Source organism: Homo sapiens, chromosome 10, assembly GCF_000001405.40.
Source record: "Homo sapiens chromosome 10, GRCh38.p14 Primary Assembly".
NCBI lineage: Eukaryota > Metazoa > Chordata > Mammalia > Primates > Hominidae > Homo > Homo sapiens.
The window spans coordinates 87,550,305-87,573,993 of record NC_000010.11 but is presented as its reverse complement, the minus strand read 5'-3'; the positions used below and the strand labels follow the sequence as shown (position 1 = coordinate 87,573,993).

The 23,689-nt window shown below is 37.9% G+C and overlaps 1 protein-coding gene across 5 annotated transcripts in view, besides 1 other annotated feature; it reads right to left on the bottom strand.

The window, feature by feature from the left end:
• MINPP1 (multiple inositol-polyphosphate phosphatase 1) overlaps positions 20,533-23,689 on the bottom strand; it is a 48,569-nt gene continuing 45,412 nt past the window's right edge. For all 5 annotated transcript variants that reach the window (XM_011540379.4, NM_004897.5, XM_006718078.4 and 2 more), the window contains one exon: positions 20,533-21,912. In XM_011540379.4, the coding sequence (XP_011538681.1) occupies positions 21,516-21,912 (397 nt within the window). In that variant the 3' untranslated portion in view covers positions 20,533-21,515. The remainder of the gene's footprint in view (positions 21,913-23,689) is intronic.
• Positions 21,091-22,290: an enhancer, noted in NCBI's record as "CDK7 strongly-dependent group 2 enhancer chr10:89311461-89312660 (GRCh37/hg19 assembly coordinates)". NCBI's record gives its function as "activates an origin of replication core promoter dependent on BRD2, BRD4, P300/CBP, MED14 and CDK7 cofactors, with strong dependence on CDK7, by STARR-seq in HCT116 cells {active_cell/tissue: HCT116}" and the evidence as "EXISTENCE:reporter gene assay evidence [ECO:0000049][PMID:35650434]".

The following is a 23,689-nucleotide window of genomic DNA, read 5'->3' as shown; positions in this document are numbered from 1 at the left end:
AATAATATTTAAAGAAAGAAATATTGAGAAGTTTCCAGAATTTGGAAAAGATATGACTTTTAGGTCTATCCCCTCATACTAAATAAGGGCAATTCTGTAATTACATTTCAGAATATTAAGGATAAAGTATAAAACCTAAAAGCTACCACAGCCTACAAATCAATATAAGAAATGGCAGACAATCCAGTAGAAAAATGGGCAAAATATATAAATAATCACTTCACAAAAGAAGTTACATAATGGCAATTTTAAAAGGGGACTAATTTCATTAGTCATCAAAGAAATTCAAATTATAACTACTATGAGATACCTCAACACACCACAATAATGGATGAAATGAAAATGACAGATAGTACCAAGTGGTGGTAGAATATCAGCCAATGGCACTTTCACATACCATTGGCGGGAGTGTAAACTGGTACAACTTTTTTGGAAAACCTTTTAGCAGTATACACCAAAGCTGAGCATACACATACCTTATGACCTGGCAATTCCATTCTAAATAAAATTGCATACATAAGTTCAGAAATGCATATATATGTTCACCAAAAGACACAGAATGTTAATAGCAACACTATTCTGATAGCCAAAAGTTTTAAATTACACTAATGTTCATCAAGAAAAGAATAGAGAAATTGTGGTGTATTCATACAATGAAATATAATACAACCCTGAGAATGAATGAATGATGTCTCATGAAACAACATGAATAAATTTTATAAACCATGTTGATCAAAAGAAACCAAAGGTTGGGAGATACTATTTGAAAAACATATCTGATAAAGGATTTATATCAGAATATATAAAAAACACTAACATCTCATTAAGAAGAAAACCCATTTTTTGTTTTTGTTTCAATTGATACATAATATTTACATATTTGTAGGGTACATGTATTTGCTACATGAATACAATATGTAGTGATCAAGTCAGGGTATTTGGCGTATCCATCACCTTACTTATCATTTCTATGTGTTGGGACCATTTCAAGTCCTCTCTTCTAGCTAACTTGAAATATACAACACATTATTGCCAGCTATAGTCATTCTACTCTGCTTTTGAACATTAGAACTTATATCTTCTATCTAATTGTATGTTTATACCCATTAGCCAACATCTCTTTAAGCTCCCTTACTCTCACACACTGTTCCCAGCCTCTGGTATCTATCATTTGTATTCTCTACCTCCATAAGATTAACTTTTTCAGCTCCCACATATGAGTGAGAACATGTAGTATTTGTCTTTCTGTGCTTCATTTATTTCACTTGCATAATGAGCTGCAGCTCCATCCATATTGCTGCAAATGACATGATTTCATTCTTTTTAATGGCCAAATAGTATTCCTTTGTGTATATATACATTTTCTTTATCCATTCATTGATGAACACTTCAGTTGATTCTGTATCTTTGCTATTATGAATAAGGCTGCAATAAACACGCAAGTGTAGGTATCCCTGTGATATACCAATTTCCTTTTCTTCGATAAATACTCAGTAGTGGCCTTGCTGAATCATATGGTAGTTCTATCTTTAGTTTTTTGATAAATCACCAAACTGTTTTCTGTAGTGGTTGTACTAATCCATATTCCCATCAATGGTGTATAAAGAGTGTTGTTTTCTCCACATTTGCCAGTGTCTTTTTTTTTTTGAGATGGAGTCTTGCTCTGTCACCCCAGCTGGAGTGCAGTGGCATGACCTTGGCTCACTGCAACTTCTGCCTCCTGAGTTCAAGTGATTCTCCTGCCTCAGTCTCCCGAGTAGCTGGGATTACAGGTGCGTGCCACCATGCCTGGCTAATTTTTGTATTTTTAATAGTGATGGGGTTTCACCATGTTGGTCAGGCTGGTCTCGAACTCCTGACATCGTGATCTGCCCACTTTGGCCTCCTAAAGTGCTGGGATTACAGGCATGAGCCACTGTGCCCAGCCGCCAGTATCTTTTTGTTGTTGTTTTAAAAATTACCATTCTAACTGGGCTAAGATGATATCTCATTGTGCTTTTGGTTTGCATTTCCCTGATGATTGGAAGTGTGGAGTATTTTTTCATATACCTGTTGGCCATTTGTACATCTTCTTTTGAGAAATGTTTATTCATGCCCTTTGCCCACTTTTTACTGGGATTATTTGTTTTCTACTTTTGAGTTGTTTGAGTTCTTTATATATTCTGGATACCAGTCTTTTGTCAGATGAATTGTTTGCAAATATTTTTTCCCATCCAACAGGTTGTCTCTTTGTCATTTGTTTCCTCTGCTGTCCTGAAGTATTTTAGGGTAATATAGTCCCTTTTGTTTATTTTTATTTTAGTTGCCTGAGCTTTTGAGTTCTAGCCATAAAATCTTTGCCTAGACCAATGTCCTGAAATGTTTCTCCTATGTTTTCTTCTAGTCATTTTATAGTTTCAGTCTTTAATCCATTGTGAGTTGATTTTTGTATATGGTGAGAGACAAGGGTCTAATTTCATCTTTCTGCATATGGATATTGAATTTTCCCAGCACTATTTATTGAAGTGGGTGTCCTCTCCCCAGTGTATGTTCTTGACAGCTTTGTTAAGCTCATTTGGATGTCAAAATGTGGATTTTATTTGCGTTTTCTATTCTGTCCCATTGCTATATGTGTCTATTTTATACCAATACCATGCTGTTTTGATTACTATAGCCTTGTAATATATTTTGAACTCATGTAGTCTGAAGCATCCAACTTTGTTCTTTTTGCTGAAGATTGATTTGGCTAATCTCACTCTGTTTTAATTCTGTATAAATTTTAGGATTTTTTTTCTAATTCCGTGACAAATATCATTGGTATTTTGATAAGGATTGCATTGAATCTGTAGATTGCCGTGGGTAGTACTGTCATTTTAATTATATTAATTCTTCCAATCCATGAGCATGTGCTGTCTTGCCACGTTTGTGTCCTCTTCAATTTTTTCATCAGTGCTTTGTAGTTTTCCCTGTAGACATCTTTCATTACTTTGGTTAGATTTATTTCTAAGTATTTATTTTATTGTAGCTATTGTAAATGGGATTGTTCTCTTGATTTCTTTCTCAGCTAGCTCATTATTGGTGTATAGAAATGTTATACACTGATTTTTGTATGTTGATTTGTACCCTGCAACTTTACTGAATTTATTCATCAGATCTAAGAATTTTTTGGTGGAGCCTTTAGGTTTTTCTAGATGTAAGATTATATTATCTGCAGAGAGGGACAATTTGATTTCCTCTTTTCTAACTAAGATGCCTTTTATTTATTTCTCTTGCCTGATTGCTCTGGCTAGAACTTCTGGTACTATGTTGAATAGAAGTGGTGAAAGTGAGTATCCTTCTCTTGTTCCAGTTCTTAGAGGAAAGCCTTTCAAAATTTCCCCATTCAGTATGATGTTAGCTGTAGGTTTGTCATATACAAAATGTATTATGTGGTGGTATGTTTCCTCTATGCCTAGTTTTGTGAGAGTTTTTATTGTGAAGGGATGTTGAATTTTATCAAATCCTTTTCTGCAACAGTTGAGAGGATCATATCATCTTTGTCCTTTATTTTGTTGATGTGATGTATCATGTTTATTAATATGCATATGTTGAACCATCCTGGCATCCCTGGGAAAAAATCTCAATCATGGTGTATTATTTTTCGGATGTGCTGCTGGATTCAGTTTTGTTGCATTTTTTGGAGAATATTTGCATCTATATTCATCAGGAATATTATTCTATAGTTTTCTTTTTTGTTGTTGCATCCTTTTCTGGTTTGAGTGTCAGGATAATGCTGGCGTCATGGAATGAGTTAGGGAGAATTCCCTCCTCTTCAAGCCTTTGCAATAGTTTGAAGAGAATTGATATTAGTTCTTCTTTGAAAGTTTGGTAGAATTCAGCAGTGAACCCAGCTGGTCTTGGAGTTTTCTTTGTTGGGGAACTTCTTGTTACTGCTTTAATTTCATTATTTGTTATTGATCTGTTCAGGTTTTTTATTTCTTCCTAATTCAGTCTTGGTAGGTTGTATAAATACAGGAATACATCCACTTCAGTTTGTTGGTGTATAGTTGTTCATAACAGTCTCTAATGATCATTTGTATTTGTATGGTATCAGTTGTAATGTTTCCTTTTTTGTTTTATTTATCTGGGTCTTTTTTTTCTTGGTTAGTCTACTAAGTGGTTTTTCAATGTTTATCTTTTCAAAAACCGAACTTTTTGTTTAGTTGTTCCTTTGGGGTTTTTTGTTTGGTTCGTTGGTTTTTTGTTTGTTTGTTTTGTTTTTGTTTTTTTGGGGGGGTCTCCATTGTTTTAGTTCTGCTCTGGTCTTTATTATTTCTCTTCTACTAATTTTGGGTTTGGTTTGTTCTTGCTTTTCTAGTTTCTTGAGGTGCACTGTTAGATTGTTTATTTGAAATCTTTCAACTTTTCTGATGTAGAGACTGATGGCTATAAACTTTTCTCTTAGCACTGTTTTGCTATATCCCATAGGTGTTGGTGTGTTGTGTCTTGATTTTTATTTGTTTCAAGAAAAGTTTTTATTTCCTTCATCCATTTTTTCCATGACCAAATGGTCATTCAGGAGTATGTTGTTAAATTGCCATGTATTTGTGTGGTTTCCAAAGTTCCTCTTGTTATTGATTTCTAGTTTTATTCTATGGTGGTCTGAGAAGATACTGGGTATAATTTTGATTTTGATTTAAAAAAAATTTTTTTTTGCCAGAACATGTTCTTATCTGAAATTTTAATTTTTAAGAATTAAAATTGTTTTTTTTTCTAACTTATGGTGTATCTTGGAGGATGTTTCATGCGCTGATGAGACGAATGTGTATTCTGTAGCTGATGGATGAAGTGTTCTGTAAATGTCTATTAGGTCTACTTGGTCTAATGTTCAGTTTAAATCCAATGTTTGTTTGTTAATTTTCTGTTCAGATGATCTGTCTAATGCTGAGATTGGGTTCTTGAAGTCCCAATTATTATTGTATTGGAGTCTATCTGTCTCCTTTTTTTTCTTTTTGAGACAGGGTCTCACTCTGTCACCCAATCTATTAGGCAGTTCTCACGTTGCCATGAAGAAATACCTGAGACTGGGTAATTTATTAAAAAAAAAAAAGACGTTTAATTAGCTCACAGTTCTGTAGGCTGTACAGGAGACAGTGCTGGCATCAGCTTCTGGGGAAGCCTCAGGGAGCTTTTACTTATGGCAGAAGGCAAAGCAGCAGCAGGCACAGCTCATGACAATAGCAGAAGCAAGAAAGACAGGGGGCGGGGGGAGGTGTCACACACTTTTAAATGACCAGATCTTGTGAGAACTCACTATCACAAAGACAGCACCAAGCCCTGAGGGATCTGCTGTCATGATCCAAACATCTCCCACCAGGCCTCATCTCCAGCACTGGTGACTACAATGCAAGATGAGATGTGGGTGGTGACAAATATCCAAACTACATAGTTCTAACCCTAGGCCCTCTCAAATCTCATGTCTTTCTCACATTGCAAAATATAATCATGCTTTCTCAACAGTACCCCAAAGTCTTAACTCATTCCAGCATTACCCCAAAAGTCCATAGTCTCATCAGAGACAAGGCAAATCCTTTCCACCTATGAGCCTGTAAAATAAAAACAATTTAGTTACTTTCAAGATACAATGGGGGTATAGGGTTTGGATAAACATTCCTGTTCCAAAAGGAGGAAATAGGCCAAAAGAAAGGGGCTACAGGCCCTATGCAAGTTTGAAACCCAGCAGGAGAGTTATTAAATATTAAAGCTACAAAATAATCTCCTTTGACTCCATTTCCCACATCCAGGGCACACTAGTGAAAGGAGTGGGCTCCCAAGGTCTTTGGCAGCTCTACCTCTGTGAATTTTCACGGTTCAACCCCCAGGGCTGCTCTCATTGGTTGGAGTTGAATGCATACAGGTTTTCCAGGTGCAGGGTGCAAGCTGCTGGTAGATTGCCCATTCTGGGGTCTGAAGGACAGTTGCCCCATCCCACAGCTCCACTAGTCAGTGCCCCATTGGGGACTCTGTGTGAGGACTCCAATCCCATATTTCTCCTCCACACTGTCCTAGTAGAGGTTCTCTGTGAGGGTTCTGCCCCTGCAACAGGCTTCTGTCTGGGCACTCAGGCTTTCCTATACACCTTCTGAAATCTAGGCAGAGGCTGCCAAGCCTCCTTAACTCTTAAATTGTTTGCACCTGCAGGCTTAACACCACATGGAAGCCACCAAGGCTTACAGCTTGCATTTTCTGAGGTGACAGCTTGAACTGTACATGGGCGCCTTTAAGCCAGGGTTGGAGCTGGAGCTGGAGCAGCTGGGATGTGGAGAGCAATGTCCCAAGGCTGCACAAGGCAATGGTGCCCCAGACCTGGCATAGGAAACCATTCTTCCCTCATAAGCCTCTAGGCCTGTGATGGGAGGGGCTGCCAGAAGGTCTTTGAAATGGCTTTGAGGCATTTTCGCCTTGTATATTAGCATTTGCCTCCCTTTTAGTTACGCAAACGTCTTTAGTAAGTGGTTCTCCTATAGTCTGCTTTAATTCCTTTCCCCAAAAAGTTTTATTTTTCTCTACCACATGATTAGGCTGCAAATTTTTCAAACTATTACACTCTGCTTCCTGTATAAATATAATTTCCAACTTTAAGTCATTTCTTTGTTCTGTATCCAAGTGTAGGCTGTTAGAAGCAGTCACACCACTTCTTGAACACTTTGTGGATTGGAAATTTCTTCTGCCAGATCCTCTAGGTCATCACTTTCAAGATCAAACTTCCACAGATTTCTACGGCATAAACAGAATGCAGCCAAGCTCTTTTCCAAGACATAACACACATGATCTTTGCTCCAGTTCCCAATAAGTTCCTCATTTCCATCTGAGATCTCGTCAGCCTGGACTTCACTGTCCATATCACCATCAGCATTTTGGTCACAACTATTTAACCAGTCTCTAATAAGTTCCAAACCTTCCCTCATCATCCTATCTTCTTCTGAGCCCTCCAAACTCCCAACTTCTGCCTGTTACCCAGTTCCAAATCTGCTTCCCAATCTTCGGGTATCTTTATAGCAACATCCAACTCCTTGGTACCAATTTTCTGTGTTAGGCTATTCTTGTATTGCTATAAAGAAATACTTGAGACTGGAAAATTTATAAAGAAGATAGGTTTCATTGGCTTACAATTCTGCAGGCTGTATAGGAAACAGCACTGTCATCAGCTTCTGGGGAGGGTTCAGGAAACTTTTACTCATGGCAGAAGGTGAAGCAGGAGCAGGCACATCACATGATGAAAGCAGGAGCAAGAAAGAGATTGAGGGGATTGGTGCCACACATTTAAAATGACCAGATTTCATGAGAACTCATGATCATGAAGACAGCACCAAGCCATGAGGAATCTGCTCCCATGACCAAAACACCTTCCACCAGGCTCCACTTCCAGTATTGGGGATTACAATTCAACATGAGATTTGGTCAGAGAGAAACACCCAAACTATATCACCCAGGCTGGAGTGCAGAGACACAGTCACAGCTCATTGTAGTCTCTACCTCCTGGGCTCAAGCAATCCTCCCACCTTGGCCTCCCAAAGTGCTGGGATTAAAGATGTGAGCCACTGTGCCTGACCCCTATCTCTCCCTTTAAATCTAATAATATTTGCTTTATATATCTGGTTTCTGTGGTGTTGGGTGCATATATGTTTAGAATTATTATATCCTCTTACTGAATTTATCCCTTTATCATTATATAGTAACCTTGTCTCTTTTTACAGTTTTTGACTTAAAGTCTGCTTTATCCGATGTAAGCATAGCTACTTCTGCTTGCTTTTCATTTCAATTTGCATGGAATATCTTTTTTCATCCCTTTACTTTCTATGTCTCTTACAGGTAAGATGAGTTTCTTGTAGTCAGCATATAGTTGGCCTATGTGTTTTTAATCCATTCAGCTGGTCAGTATCTTTTAAGTGTAAAGTTTAATCTGTTTATATTCAAGGTTATTATTGATATGTAAAGGTTTATTCTTTTCATTTTATTAAATAATTTCTGGTTGTTTTGTATATCCTTTGTTCCTTTCATTCGCTTTGTCTATCGTTGTGGTTTGGTGATTTTCTTTAGTGGTAAGAGTTGAGTCTTATTTTCCTTTATTTGTGTCTTTGTTCTACCAGGAGTTGTTATATTTTCATGTGTTTTCATAATGGCAGCTAACATTCTTTCACTTCCAGGTGTAGACCTCTCTTAAGCATTTCTTGCAGGATCAGTCTAGTGGTGATGAATTCCCTTGGCTTTTGCTTATCTGGGAAATACTTTATTTGTTCTTCATTTATGAAGGATAATTTTGCTGGGTATGTCTTCTGCTGGCAGCTTTTCTTCCAGCATTTTGAATATATCATCCCATTCTCTCCTGGCCTATAAGGTTTCTGCTGAGAAGTCAGCTGTTAGTCTGATGAGGGTTCCTTTATAGGTGACAAGATGCTTTACTCTTGTGTTTAGAATTCTCTATGTCTTTGACTTTTGACAGTTTGACTATAATGTACCATGAAGACCTTTTTGCATTGTATTTGCTTGAGGTTCTCAAGAGCCTCAAGTATCTAGATGTCTACATTTCTTGCTAGTCTTGAGAAGTTTTTAGCTATTATTTTGTTAAATAGGTTTTCTAACATTTTTATTTTCTCTTTTCCTTCTGGGACTCCAAAAGTTTAAATATTTGGTTGCTTTCTAGTGTCCCATATGTCATACAGGCTTTTTTCTCTCTCTCTTATTTTTTGCTTTATTTTTGTCTGACTGGGTTATTTCAAGAGACTTATATCTTCAAATTCTGATGTTCTTTCTTCTGCTTAATCTAGGCTATTGTTGAAGCTTTTGAATGCATTTTGTATTTCATTCACTGAATTCCTCAGTTCCAGAATTTGTTTGGTTCCTTTTTATGATATCTGTCTCTTTATTTTGAATTCTTTTTCCAGGATTGTTTTTGATTGGGATCTGTTCCTGGAGAACTATTGTTTCTTTGAAGATGTCATATTTTCTTGCATTTTCAATGTTTCCTGTGTTCTTACATTGGTATCTGTACATGTTGTGTAACAGTCATTTCTTTCAACTTTATGAATTTGCTTTAGTATGGGAGGACTTTTTCCTGAAGATGTATCTATGGTTTTTGTTGGGGAGTGCACATTGACTTTAATTCTAGGTGCAAGCAGTAGGATAGTCTCTGTATGATTTCTTTGGCTGTAAGCAGCATCAGTAGTATCTATGATTTCCTTGATGGCTTAGGGTACAGTTATTAAGGGAGACTGTGGTGAAGTTTTGCTGGGGACTGAGATCCCTCATGGTCCAGTCTTCAGACCCCAGTGGGCTGAGCCTGCTTGTCCTTGGGTCCCAAGGTGGCATATGCTGGCACCAGTGTCAGCAAGTCCAGGCAGGCCAGTTCTTGAGCCTCCAGGCGGCTTGTCTGAATGCCAGTAGTGGCAGCAATGGTAGCTGTGGGGGTGAGCATGTTCTCAGGCCTCTGGGCAGTTGGCATGTTCTAGGCAATGGCAGTAGCAGTACTGGGATGACTCTCTGGGTCCCAAGTGGTATGTGCTGCTATTGGTGGTGGCTGTGATAGCCTGGGTAGGCTAGTTTCCAGGCCCCCAGGTAGCATGTGCAGGTTGGTGCCAGCTGTGGTGGTAGCAGCAGGTTGGGTAGGATCAATCTCAGGCCCCCTAGAGGAGTGCTTAGGTGCCAGTGGTGGTGGGCTGGGCTTGGCAATCCCTAAGCCCCTAGATTACATGCTCTGACATGGGATGGGGGCCAAGCCAGTCTGAGCAGACTTATCCTCAGGCCACCTGATGGTGTGTGCAGGTGCCTGCCATGGTAGGCAGTGGTGGGGCAATCTCAAGGCCCCTGGTGGAATGCTCGAGTGAGGTGGCAGCAGTCATGCTGTGGCCCTGCCACTGGGGAGGATAGGGCACAATCACCCTACTTGTGCTTCAGCCCTGATGGCAGCAGTCCATGCTTCACCTGTGCCTTAGCCCTGGAGCTGCTGAGCCCCAGGGCAATGTGTAGCCTGTTGGGGGCCAGGCTCTCAAAATGGTGCCTTGCTGTAGATGCTTATGGTTTGGTGGAGGGGGGGACATGGGACCCGATGCAAGCTCCATCCTCGAAGCTGTGCCATTGCATGGTCTCCAGGTAGCTCCCTCTGTTAGTTTCAGGGCCTGGGAGGGCTAAGATAGAAGAATATTGTGGTGGGAATGTGGTCTACTGGGGGTTTCTCACTTACCCTTTCACCACACTGGGGAGTCTCTCCTGGCTCCCAGCTGATCCCAGCCAAGCAGCCTACCTTACTTTCCTCTCCTTCCTTGCCTTAGGTGTTTCCTGTCACTTTTCTGTTGACTTCCAGTGTTCTCTCAGATGATCTATTTAAAATGTGATTTATTTACTCACTATTTTGGTTTCTCGTAGTGGAGAAGGCAAGTACAAAATGCATCTAGTCAGTCATCCTTCCTCATACAACACACTTTTAAAATGGGCAAAATATTTGAACAGACACTTTACCAAAGAAGATATATGAATGATGAATAAGTACATATAAGTACATTAAAATATATTCAACATGCAATCCTCTAAAAGACTTAAGAAAATTCTCATATGATGGTGATGACATGATTTTAAAAATCTTTCCAACCCATCACCCCCACCCTGCATAAAAACAGCAACTAAAGTGGCAAATGGGTACAGTGATATGTGCCTGTACTCACAGATACTGGGGAGGCTGAGGCGGGAAGATCACTTGAACCCAGGAGTTTGAGATGAGTTGGAGCAACACAGAGGGACTCCATCTCAAAAAAAAAAAAAAAAAAAAAAGGAAAGAGAGAAAATAGAAAAAAAAGGCTGGCGTGAAGGGAGCTGTTTTAATTGATCAGTCACAGATCAAACTCCTCGTTTCTATTTCTTCCCTCTTCTCACTACTACACTTGACTAGTCTTAAATAAAATGAAAAAACCCACAGACAACATCTACAACAAAACTATGTGACAAATTATCCCCAATGTTAGTAAAAAGTGCTTGGTGCCGCAACGAGAAACCAGCACTTAGACAGAAAATTTTTTAGCAAGGCAAACTTACTTTTGCAGAAGGGGTGCTGCCTGCATCTGTCTGATTGCAAGAGCACGTTGAACAAAGGAGAGAAGGGTTTTTATTCCTAATGCAGCTTGTCTCTACTACTGTGTCCTGTCTTCGTTGGCTGGAGTTGGACCGCACAATCTAAACTGAACCCGATTGGCTAACTTGAAAGACAGCTTTGGCAGGAAGAGTCGTCACAGCGGGAGGGGTAAATTACAGAGTGAGTAGTAGATCTGGGCTCTGTGGATAAGGACTGGCGGGAGAGTTGTTTACTGGAACTAGGAGCAGGGAGGCCCAAGGGTAAGGAAGTTGGACCTTGAAAGTAGAGAACAAATAAACTAAACAAACTAAACTTTTGAAGAGAAACTTCTCTTGGATCTGACACCCAAGAATTTCCAAATCTGAGAGTGTGTGATAAGCCACTGACGGCTATAAGACCCCCACTGCATAAACATCATCTTTGTAGAAAGCAGCAGAAGGCAGCTTTGGGTAGCTAATGGACCTAAGAACTGAGGAACTCCAAGTCACCCAAAGGTACTCATTGAAAATGCAGAGGACCAACAGACAACAGCTGTTGTACAATAGGTTTACCTTAAGTGATGAAAGGACTTGAGCTGGTGGGCCCTAGGAGTTCTCAAACTTCACCAGCTGAAGTCCCCTTCCAGGATACACCCCTGCTTTGAGGAGACTCCCCTGGGAATAAAAATCCCTATTAAATAGGACAGGGACAAAAAGGGTAAAGGAAAGGGAAGATCCAGCTACAAATGGGAGTGGGAACTGAATCAGATCTTAGAAAGGACAAGAAACAGCCCTCCTGACCAACTCCCTCCTGCCATACCCCCCAAACCGAGGTTCAGAAAAATGAATTAGAAGTAGATATATAAACAAAGCTCACATATCGGCTCCCAAGTCCCCAGGTGATGCCACATTTGGGCAAGGTCATCACTGGGAGATCAAATTTTATAGTCAGGTCCTCAGATTGGGAAATATTTTCTAGCAATGTCTGTATGTAATAATATTTTACTGATATAAAAACAACTGGTGGTCATGTGGTGTTTGCTGTCACACAAATTGTTGTGATGACAGTCAAAGTGGCATACTCAGTTTATAAGATGGAGTAGGACAGAGATCATTGTCATGGGCAACATATGCAACTTGCCTCTGACAAGTCTGCAGCAAATTTTTGCCTTCTTCATCCCCCATAAAATTCTGCATCATAGATATCTGATAAACATCTGCCAGCTGCCATTGCTGTGTGTGCAATGAGCCTGGCTTTATGGACTCTATAGTTGAGTTACAGGAGTGAGCCTATGAGGGCTGGCATATGCAGATTACAACTACTTCACTAAATAGAGATGGGGTGGAGGGTAGATTACAGACATAAAATTCTAATTCAAGAACAGAAACCATCCTTCTTTTGGGAATCCTCCTAAGACGGAAGACTTCCTAAGGGACATTGTTTCTAAAACAGGACTAACAATTAACACATACACTCTATGCATGTACATAAAATATTTGAGGGCAAAAAATATTTTATCTTCAGTCCCTAATCCCATGCCTGTTAGGTAGTTATTGCTCAAAAGGGTTATAAAAGCAATGGAAGGGAAAATAAATAAACAATATAACTATAGTTCCCATTATTCTGAAATCCAAACAACTTTGAATTTCCAACAAGGTCTGAGATGTGCTTTGCTTTAAAATTCTACAAATACATTTCTAAGGGACAGCAGAAGAATCAATTAACTTGTCCCACCCTCCTGGTTAACTAAGAAAGCCTTCTAGACCAGGTGCATAGTACAGTCAGCTGAGCCTGGAGAAACAGAATTGATTTGTCTTAGAAAAGGTCATAGAAGAGGCTGACACTTTCTTTTCCTTTCCATTTCCTGCTAAGCATGCAACTTCTCAGCCTCAGCAATTATGGAAGCCGAGAATTATAGAGGCCAATGGCTACAGAGAAGGCCAAAGGGTAGAAGCATATTCAAAACATTTTTTATTGCAGTAGTGTGCAGAATCAAGAGTTAGTTGCAATCTTTCTATGTTACTGGAACAATCTGCACATCAAAACACCCCAAATAAACTAGGTCCAAATTCCACTTCAACCACTGATATTGCTGTTAACAAATTTGAATAGTGCTTATTATGCGGAAAAAAAAAAAGGTACCTTCTTCTTTCATATACCCTATTCTCGTATAAACAGGTCAAAGAAGGAAGATTAGTCAAACTCAACATTGTCATAATATGTGACTGCTGACGCCAGTTCTCTGCACTTTGGGCTCTTCCCTTACGAGGTTTAAATATATGCCCAGGCTAGGTGTGGTGTCTCATGCCTGTAATACCACACTTTGGGAGACTGAGGCAGCAGGTGGATCACTGGAGGTCAGGAGTTCAAGACCAGCCTGGCCAACATGGTGAAATCCCATCTCTACTAAAAATGTAAAAATTAGCTGGATGTGGTGGCACATGCCTGTAATCACAGCTACTTGGGAGGTTGAGACAGGAGAATCGCTTGAACTCTGGAGGCGGAGGTTGCAGTGATCCAAGATTGCCCCACTGCACTCCAGCCTGGGTGATAGAGCTAGACTCCCTCTCAAAAAAAAAAAAAAAAAAAAAGGCCAGAGGCAGCAGTTACCAAGAGTCATCTGGCGTTTTCTAGTATTTCTTTGATTCATGATTCATCAATTATTCTGTCTACTACAGGATCTTCAATACAAAGTTGAAATGACCTCATTTCCTCATCTGCAAAATGGGTTTTATACTAGCAACTTCACAGTGCTGTAAAGAGGATTAAGTAGAAAAACAAAGTACAACCTATAGTGCTTGGCAAGTGTAGCTATTTCTCTTACCTAATGGCAACTATTAATACATGATTTATTTTACAGATTACTTAACATCAGGTACATTGCTGAGTATTGAGAATTACAAAGTACTTTGATGCATTATGCTCTGTAATATGAGATGATTTTAAGACTGGACTTTACTCACCTGTGTTTGCACAAATACCAACAAATACATGTACCCAGGTCTATAATAGTGCTTATAAAATACTTTGTAATTTAAACCAAAAAGTATCTGAGACAGATGTCAATCGATTTAGGCTTATTTTGCCAAGGTTAAGGACCCCGCCCATGACACAGCCTCAAGAGGTCTTGAGAACATGCGCCCAACGTGTTTGGGTTACAGTTCTTGGTTTTGTACATTTTAGGAAGGCAGAAGTTACAAGCAAAGACAGAAATTGATACATGGAAGGTATACATTGATTCAGCCCAGAAAGGCAGGACATCTTGATGTGGGAGGGCTTCCAGGTCATAGGTGGATTCCAAGATTTCCTACCTGGGCAATTGGTTGAAGGAGTTAAGCTTTGACTGAAGAGTTGAAGTCAGCATAAATAAATGTTAAAGTTGGGGGAGGCTGTGGAAGCCAAGATTCTTATGTAGATGAAGCCTCCATGTAGCAGGCTTCAGACAGAATAGATGGTAAATATCTCTTGTCGAAACTTAAAAGGTGTCAGACTCTGGAAAAGACCTAGCAAGGGAAGGAGATTCTCTACAGAATGCAGATTTCGTTCACAAGAGACAGCTTTGCAGGGCCATTTCAAAATATGTCAAAGAAATTTATTTTGGGGTAAAATGCTTTGATTTCCTTCAGGGCCTGCTGTTATGTGATCCTGTACCAGAGTCAGGTTGGAATTTGGTATCTTATTGCTAGAGTCTGTTTTGTCACTGTTACGATCTCTATTTTCACATTAATGCTGGTCAGTTGTTCCTGAACTTCAAAGGGAGGATGTAACAAGGTATGTCCAACCCCTTCGTCCTGTGATGGCTTGAACTAGTTGTTCAGGTTTCTTGGAATTCCTTAGCCAAGAAGGGGTCCATTCAGTCAGTTGGGGGGCTTAGAATTTTATTTTTCGTTCACATAATCAGTTTTTAGACCTGTTAAACAATCCTTTGAAACATCATGTAGGCCACAGGGCTGGAGGAAAGCCATGCTTCCATGCTTCCAGCTGTTTTTCAAGAGCTAGGCTGACAGCAACTAGACTTGAAAAGTGAGTATTACTGACTTTCCTATCTCCAGCAGGTGACTGAGGCAAAAATTGGCAGTCTATTTGAAAAGTTCCACAGTGTTGGCTGGTCTACCCTCATTTTCCTAACTAGAAAAACCTGAAGTCTTGCAACCAGAGTAATAGGGATGTATTAATAGAATCCTAGCTGCTTCTGGAACCTATACCTAAATCTGGGAGTTTTGTGTATTATCTCTTAGCAAGGAAAAGGCAGAGAAGGCTGTTGTTTCTATCTTACTTTTTTATGTCCTGCCCCAAGGATCTCAATTTCTCTTCTCAGAGTCTTTTCAGTCTCATAGCACTGAAGTAGGAAGAAAAGTTGAGACAGTTGTTTCTTCCCACTATAAATGGCACTGGGTGGTGTGACTATCTAAAATAGACTCATTAGAAAACCAGGCCCTTAACCTAATTTTCATAATGCAAATACTGACAGAAAGCTTCAGGGAGCAAAGTCGCACAGACAGAAGAGAAAAAAACACTATCCTGTCTCACCAAAACTAGGCTTCTCATCTCAGGAAGGCAAAAGACAGAAAAATACCTAAGAGAAAGAATCCAACAGGTGTGGTGGCTCACACTTGCAATCCCAGCACTTTGGGAGGTTGCGGTGAGAGGATTGCTTGAGCCTAGGAGTTCAAGACCAGCCTGGGCAACATATTGAGACCCTGTCTCTACAAAAGATAAAAAAAAAAATTATCAGGGCATGGTGTCAAACATCCGTAGTCCCAGCTACTTGGGAGGCTGATGTGGGAGGATCACTTGAGGCCAGGAGGTCAAGGCTGCAGTGAGCCATGATTGTGCCATTGCACTCCAGCCTGGGTGACAGAGACTGTATCTCAAAAGATAATAATTTAAAAAAAACACAAAAAAATAGGAAAAAGAAAAAGAAACTAACGGTTTCTCAAAGGAAGAGCAACTATGGCTGGAGCAAAATTAGCTGTTTCCAATTAACAACCTTTTTATCAATTAAATAATTTTCTTATCTGTATGTATCCAAGGATATATTTCACCAGTATATACTTCTCTAATTTACATCAAAACTGTATTTTTTCCAGAATATTTGTTGAAAAAGTTTCCCAAAGCACCCAAATTGTTAATGCAGAGAAAAATCTATACTTTCATTCCAACTTAATTTTCCACATTGGCCATCTTAGAAATAATGTAAAATAAATATCCGAATTCAACTTTACCAGTAGTATTACCCAATTCAGAAGGATGTCATTTTAACGAACAAATATTTATTCTCCCAGTACAACAAACAAAAGTGTGAACATGGATTGCTTGGGTCTAAATGGTTTAAAATCTGGGAAAGGGCCGGGTGCAGTGGCTCATGCTTGTAATCCCAGCACTTTGGGAGACTGATGTAGGAGGACCACTTGAGCCCATCTCTACAATAGAGATGTAGAGACCCCATCTCTACAATAAACTTAAAAATTAGCCAGGCATGGTGGAGTGTGCCTGTAGTCCCAGATACTTGGGAGGCTGAGGTGGGAGGAACACTTGAGCTGAGTTCGAGGCTGCAGTGAGCTATGATGGAACTACTGCACTCCAAGCTGGGCCACAGAGTGAAGACTCTGTCTCTAAAAATAAAAATAAAATAAAATCTGAGAATGTAGTACATGGAAGATGTTGAATTGAGGCTAGTTTAAAGAATAAAATTAAGAATCCTTCTATCTTAAAATAATTTCAGTAATGACAAAAAAGTTATAGTTTTTAAAATTAACCTCTTCCCAAGTTGTCCAGTATGGAACTCAAACTATATCTTTAACTGGAAGAATATGACATCTCTTTTCCTGATGTGGAGTTCTGTCAAAAATACTACTATTCTCACACATACACAGAACAAAGCATAGCTAAATAGACTGAAGAGTGAAAGAGGCTGCCACATGAATGGAAGGAAACAAATGAATATGAGAAAAAGAACAGTTAACAGAGAGTTGGGTGATCTGTGATCTAAGTTCAGGGTAATAGTTAGATATAAGCAAATTGTATATGCAAGTAATGCAAATATTTTCAGCTTACATTTGGCAAAAGACAGTCCAAATTCCCACTATCATTAATGAACCACATGAAATACCATCTGACAAAAACGTGTTCTAAAACTGTACAGTTTATATTCTGGTTAGGTTATATGTAACTCTCACATCTCTAAGGGCTTGCATTAGCAGTTCTGCAGTTTACAAAAGGAAAGCATTCAAATAAAGATATAACAGTGGAATATGCCTGGAAAAAATGAACTACTTTTTCCCTTACACATTGAGTTTTGATTTCAGTGTTAAAATTAAGATCAAGATCATTGACAAAAGCAGTATCAAGTAAGTGTGTGTTGGAGAGCAGGAACTTCAAAATGATGACATGACCATAGAAAACAGTAAATACAGTACAATGCACACGTAGCTATAGATGAGACAGAAAAAATGGCTAATGTCCATAGAAATTAATCCATCAAAATGTCAAATCATTAAAAGTTAAATTTTGGCAAAACTGAGTAATTTGATCACCTATTACGAATGAATTCTTGTTAGCCAAAGATTTTTTTCAATGTTCAACTCTTCACATATCCTATCCTAGATAGTACCTTTAGTTTTTATCTTGAGATTCTCATTTTAGACATTTCCTAAATAACACCACAATAATATCACAACTTCTGTAACACTAGCAAAAATGGACCACGCTTAACCTCCACCCAGTATTTTCCTATGAAATATTTAAAATACATCTTTATAGGGTCAAAGATGACTATATAGTCCTATTGAACAATGAAATTTAATTCCTATGAAACTTTCATAGTCTTTGATATTTTGAAAAGTATTCAAAGGATACAAAATATTAAGTGTTAGACAATAAATGTTTTCAGATCTTTTAAGATAAACTCCTTGAATAAAAAAAAAACAAAACCCTAAGTTCATTCATCTTTATATGCCCATAGACTAAATGTATAGTGTTTTTATATAAAAGTACTCAACAGGCATTGATAAATTGAAGGTATTAATTTGCAACAAATGGTCAGGATTTTTAAAAGTTTTGAAAAACAAACAGAGCAGTTAAAATAAATTACTAATGCAAGAATGATACAGAGAATGTAAGTCTTTGTATAGAAAAATTTAAAACTCCCACAATACTGCAAGTTTCCAGAATCAAGTATGCAGTGCAATGATGAATACTGAATTTTATGTTGATGGTTACCTCTAGGCAGGGTATAGGGGTAATAGAATCATGGAGGTATATAAACGTCCTCAAAACAGCTTATTGAAATCTAAAGCAAATGTTATAATGTTAATTTTGATAAAACAGGATGTATATGGGTGCTCATCATTTTGTTTTCTTGTCTGCATATTTACATTTTTTTAAAGAAATGAGAACACCAGAACTTTGCAGAATCAGCAGTGTGTATAAATGCACCAGCAGCATTTACCAGCTAATCATCTATTTTATAAAACATCATTCATTTGAAGATCTCTGATCTAAAGATCAGGGATCTCTGCATCTCATAATTTCAATATACAATTGAGTACAATTTTTCCTCCACTGGTATTTAATTCCATGACTCACCACCCTATAGCCTGAAAGGAACCCAAATGGCAGTGTTAGTTTAATCCAAAATTTTTCAAAGTATATTCTCATTTACAATTGTCATAGATTGTAAATTGTCATAGATTATAAATGAGAAACTTTGAAAAATTTTGGATTAAACTAACACATGCCATTGGGTTCCTTTCAGGCTAGAGGGTGGTGAGTCACAGAATGTAGTACATGGAAGATGTTGAATTGAGGCTAGTTTAAAGAATAAAATTAAGAATCCTTTCATCTTAAAATACATTATTTCAGTAATGACAAAATAGTTAAAGTTTTTAAAGTTAACCTCCTCTCAAGTTTTCCAGTATGGAACTCAAACTATAAATCTAAATTTCATTGGAAGAATACGACATCTCTTTTCCTGCTGTGGAGTTACAATGTATGATGACTATAAATGAGAATGTACTCAGGTCAAGCAAGATAGAAAAAAATGTAATCTACTATAATGCCTCCTTTATTCATAACGCACAATAGAACATTAAAAGCCAGAGACATTCCATAGGATAACCCCATGTTTCCCAAGGTCACTTCAACCCAGGATCCTTTCTTTCTAACATTTATATCTTCTTTCTAGAATTTGTGTTCTGAGGAGAATATTTTATGTATCATATCCATTCGGGAATAATTCAGTTTCTGAAAATCCCATGTTGAAATGGTCCTTTTTCATTTTTTCAGAGCACACATACTATATTTACAGCTCCCAATGTTTGTCAGCTTGTTTCTTTTACTTACTCATTAGTGCTACTTTTTTTTAACCTTAGAAGATCTATTCAAAAAGGTATTGGCAAGGTCACATAACCCAACAGTTAATATGATATCATTTTAAAGGTGTCCCTGGGTCATATTTTGCAAACCAAAAGCAACATGAGGTTTTCTTACTAATAGAGAAAGCATTAAAAATCTTTTTATCTTTTCTCTAAATTAGCATATGATAACTTCATTGGCTAAAAAACAAATGACTAAGCATTAACTAGAAAATATTTCGACTATGGGTGATAAAAAAAGATCTTATTGCCTTTTTTTTTAAGTCTCAAACTGATTTTTCCAATTTTATCAACTGAAGTTTGGCTTGAAAATATCCTAATCCAAGTCACATATGACAATCTGTACATAATCTGTACGTAGGCACATGGATACCCTTAACATGTATTGGTTTTCCTATGGTCTGTCTCCTCGAAAGCAAAGTACCGTAAAACTAGTAAGAGGAGACTCCAGTAGGGGATTTTGCTGCATGTCGTTTAATAAGAGTAACCACATATTTTTAAGAAAAATCTAAGATTTTCCTTTGAAACATATTACCTTTAAGGTGTATATGAATTAAAATAAAATGCATTAACAAATCCATTATTTGAGGAAATTTCTATTCAAAGAAAATTGCTTTAAATTGCCAGGTGACAATAGCAAAGACTTGGAACCAACCCAAATGTCCATCAATGATAGACTGGATTAAGAAAATGTGGCACATATACACCATGGAATACTATGCAGCCATAAAAAACGATGAGTTCATGTCCTTTGTAGGGACATGGATGAAGCTGGAAACCATCATTCTCAGCAAACTATCGCAAGAACAAAAAACCAAACACCGCATGTTTTCACTCATAGGTGGGAACTGAACAATGAGAACACTTGGACACAGGAAGGGGAACATCACACATTGGGGCCTGTCGTGGGGTAGGGGGAGGGAGGAGGAATAGCATTAGGAGATATACCTAATGTAAATGACAAGTTAATGGGTGCAACATACCAACATGGTGCATGTATACATATGTAACAAAACTGCATGTTGTGCACATGTACCCTAGAACTTAAAAGTATAACAAAAATAAAAAATAAAAAAAAATTGCCAGGTGAGTCAAATCTGCTTGAATTTCCAAACTTTTACCATCAATTATTGATTGTATTTTGACATGGGGAAGAGAAAAGTCCTGGTAGTAAAGTCACAAGAATTTTCTTTATTATAGCAAATACTTTCACGGCATTTGACAGAACTCAGAACTATTTACAAAGAAAGAAAGAAAAATCAAACAACCAAAAGATACATTTCATATAATAGGAAAATATAAAAATCGAAGCCAAGTGACAGAATGAAAAAGTTAGCTAAGCAATGGATTTGAAAAACTTCGATTCTAACTATCTGACTTGTTGCTAATTGTCCAAACATATAATAATTTAAGATGGTCTTTTGAGACTTCCTAGAAGTAAAAAGGAATTATTGAAAAAATGTTCAAATATTTCATAAATAAATACCAAAAATATTTATTTTCATTGTACTTTCCGACTTGCTTCAGTGAAGGTGTCCTTTTACAACACTCTGTTTCTTGTTTCAAATTCTCATCTGGAGATGTTACTTTCTTCCAGAGTGATACTCCCAGCTTACCACAATATTCCTGATTAAGAAAATGCTAGAGCTGTCCTACCTGAGGAAAAGAAGAGAGAACTGCAGAACAATCTGTAAAGTTCCTAGACAGTTCAATCAAGTTAAGGATGGTCCAACTGAGATATTTTGTTACTCCAGCACTTTTCAAGTGTTATTATGAAATCACAATTCTATCTCAGTGTGAGATTTCTTATATAAGTAGGAAGAATTTCATTTCTGTAAACATTTGCAGGGCCAGCTGTTTCTCTAAATAGATTTGTTTCTCCTTAAGAGAGCTGCTCCAGTGAAAAATCTTTTCTTACATTTCATGTCCAAACCCAGAGAGAAACCCAATGTTTTTCTGTGAAAAGACAGAAATACTCAAGTAATATAAAAGCTTCCTGTAATCAAGGAATTGCCTACCTATTACAAGCATGTAATCACTCATTGCAGATTCCTAAAGAATTAAAAATGTTCTTCAGTTACTCATAGTTCATCAGATGTACTGTTAGCCCTTGCTAATTCACATTCTTCACTGGTTTGACAACTCTGAAGGATGTCCTTGTAGTGGTTCTTCAGATCTTCATAAAATGAAACAGTTTCTTGTGAGTAAGCCAAAGGTAACACCTTTTCATTTAATAACATCTGCACTCGGAATTGTTCTTTAGGAGTCTTAGCATTTTCACAGTGGTAAAGCACAAATATCAGGTTCGAGGCATAAGGTACAATGAGACCACTTCGGAACTTCCGATGCATTTGTTTTTTGTAATTGTACGCTGTTAGGGGTTCCTTGTCTTTGAAGTAGCCCATGAGAGAAAGCAGTGGAAGAAGAGTCTCTGCATGACCAAACTGGAGGATGACTGGAGAAGAAATTGGCTGAGACCTTCAAATAGAAATTAAGAGAAAATAAGGTATATATATTAATGTCATAGAACATAGTATTTACACTTAGGAGTAACTTCCACATCTTTTTTTAGTTTAAATAATCCCATCTATTTTTTTAAATCTTTATATACATTACACAAGCATACGGCTGAAATTCCGTGTGGCAGAGAACTAAACTTTTTATACTGAAAGTTAAGTTCCGAAATTCAGATCACTGTACTGTTGTAAATCCATATAAGTGTGCATACATATTTTCCTTTAAGTTTAAAGAGAGAGAAGTGTCTTATAGATATGGGAACTTGAAACAGATGTGTATTTCAACACTGTATTGCCTTTCTGTGCATAAAACTGAGCAACCTGGCCCTTAGTAAATATTACTCCATGGAGCTCTTTTGAATAAAGTGTTATTATTTTATTTATATCTAGGGAATAAGAACAAGCAATATTCAGTAAATGTCTTACCAAGTCTGAACAGGATTACATGGTAATTCATGTAATCCTTAATGGTTTACAAAACCCAAAAAAGGTTAGTGATGTAACCTATTGTGGCTGAAACAATGTGTCTCTGGTTGGGAGTGGGAGTATAAAGTGCCAGGAATACAAACCACTTTCAACACTGAGCTGAATCAATTCTTTTTCTTGAAGTTTTCTATGATTTTTTTTTTCTGGTAAAGAATTTTTATTAAGAAGCAGTGAATGACTGCTTAGCCTTTTCCCTACCTTTATAGAAAAAATAATATTTTTCTTAAATATAATTTGTAAACCTATTCAAACATGACTGTCTGACTTTTTGCCACCACTCATCAGGTTATCAATTTAGTGCATCTGGATTTTCTGGGAGGATAGAAGCAGCAGTTCTAGACCTTCCTGATTCCCTCTGCCCCCAACACACACAAACACAGCAAGCAGATAGCAAATCCAAAAACCCATGGGAAACATTTACAACATAACTAGGTGGAAAAGTATTCTCTATGAACCACTCCAAGTAGCATCCAACCTCAAGCACTAGATATTATCAGTATCTGTTGAAGAAAGCAGAGAGAAGCCACAGAGCATCTGAGCAATCTGAGAACAAGAGAATCCCAAACAGCCCACAGGTATTCACTGGAAGCGCTGTGTGTGAACTGGATATAGCAGCTGAAATTGGGAAGTATTTAGTCCTCTCCAGGACTTGGTGAGTGCAAGGCAGGCCTACAGTGAGGCCCGGGGCTAGAGAATCCTGGAGCTCCTGTGAACTCTCCAAACACAGGGCTCACACTAGAGAAACTGCTGGGAGTGGAATTTCAGCCAAGCAGGAGAGGGACAGAAGAGATAAAGGAAAAAGTAAGTCTAGATGAAAGTGGGGGGAGGGGAACAGAGCCAGGAAATCTCAGAAAACAACCCATCATACTTCTGAACAGTACACACACCAGAACGGGGGGGCTCTGTGAGATGAGACAAGCAATCTGACACAAACCTTTTTCTAAATGTTCAGGAAAACAATTCATATCAAAATAACTACAGAAAAGCATGTAAGAAAAAATAAGGAGCAGAATAACTTCCATATATAAGAGTACGCTAGAAATATATACTCAAAAAGTACACTGAAACTGTTAACAGTATTTCAAAACAAACTAAAAGACAATTATTCACTACTTTCAGATTAATATTCTCTAAAAGGTGTAAAACTTAAAAGCCATTCATCAACAGGCGCTTACCAAGCCTCTCTTCATAACTGGTATACTTTAATTAGGTCATCTAAAATACCTAAAACCTGTATTTATTTCCAAGAAGCA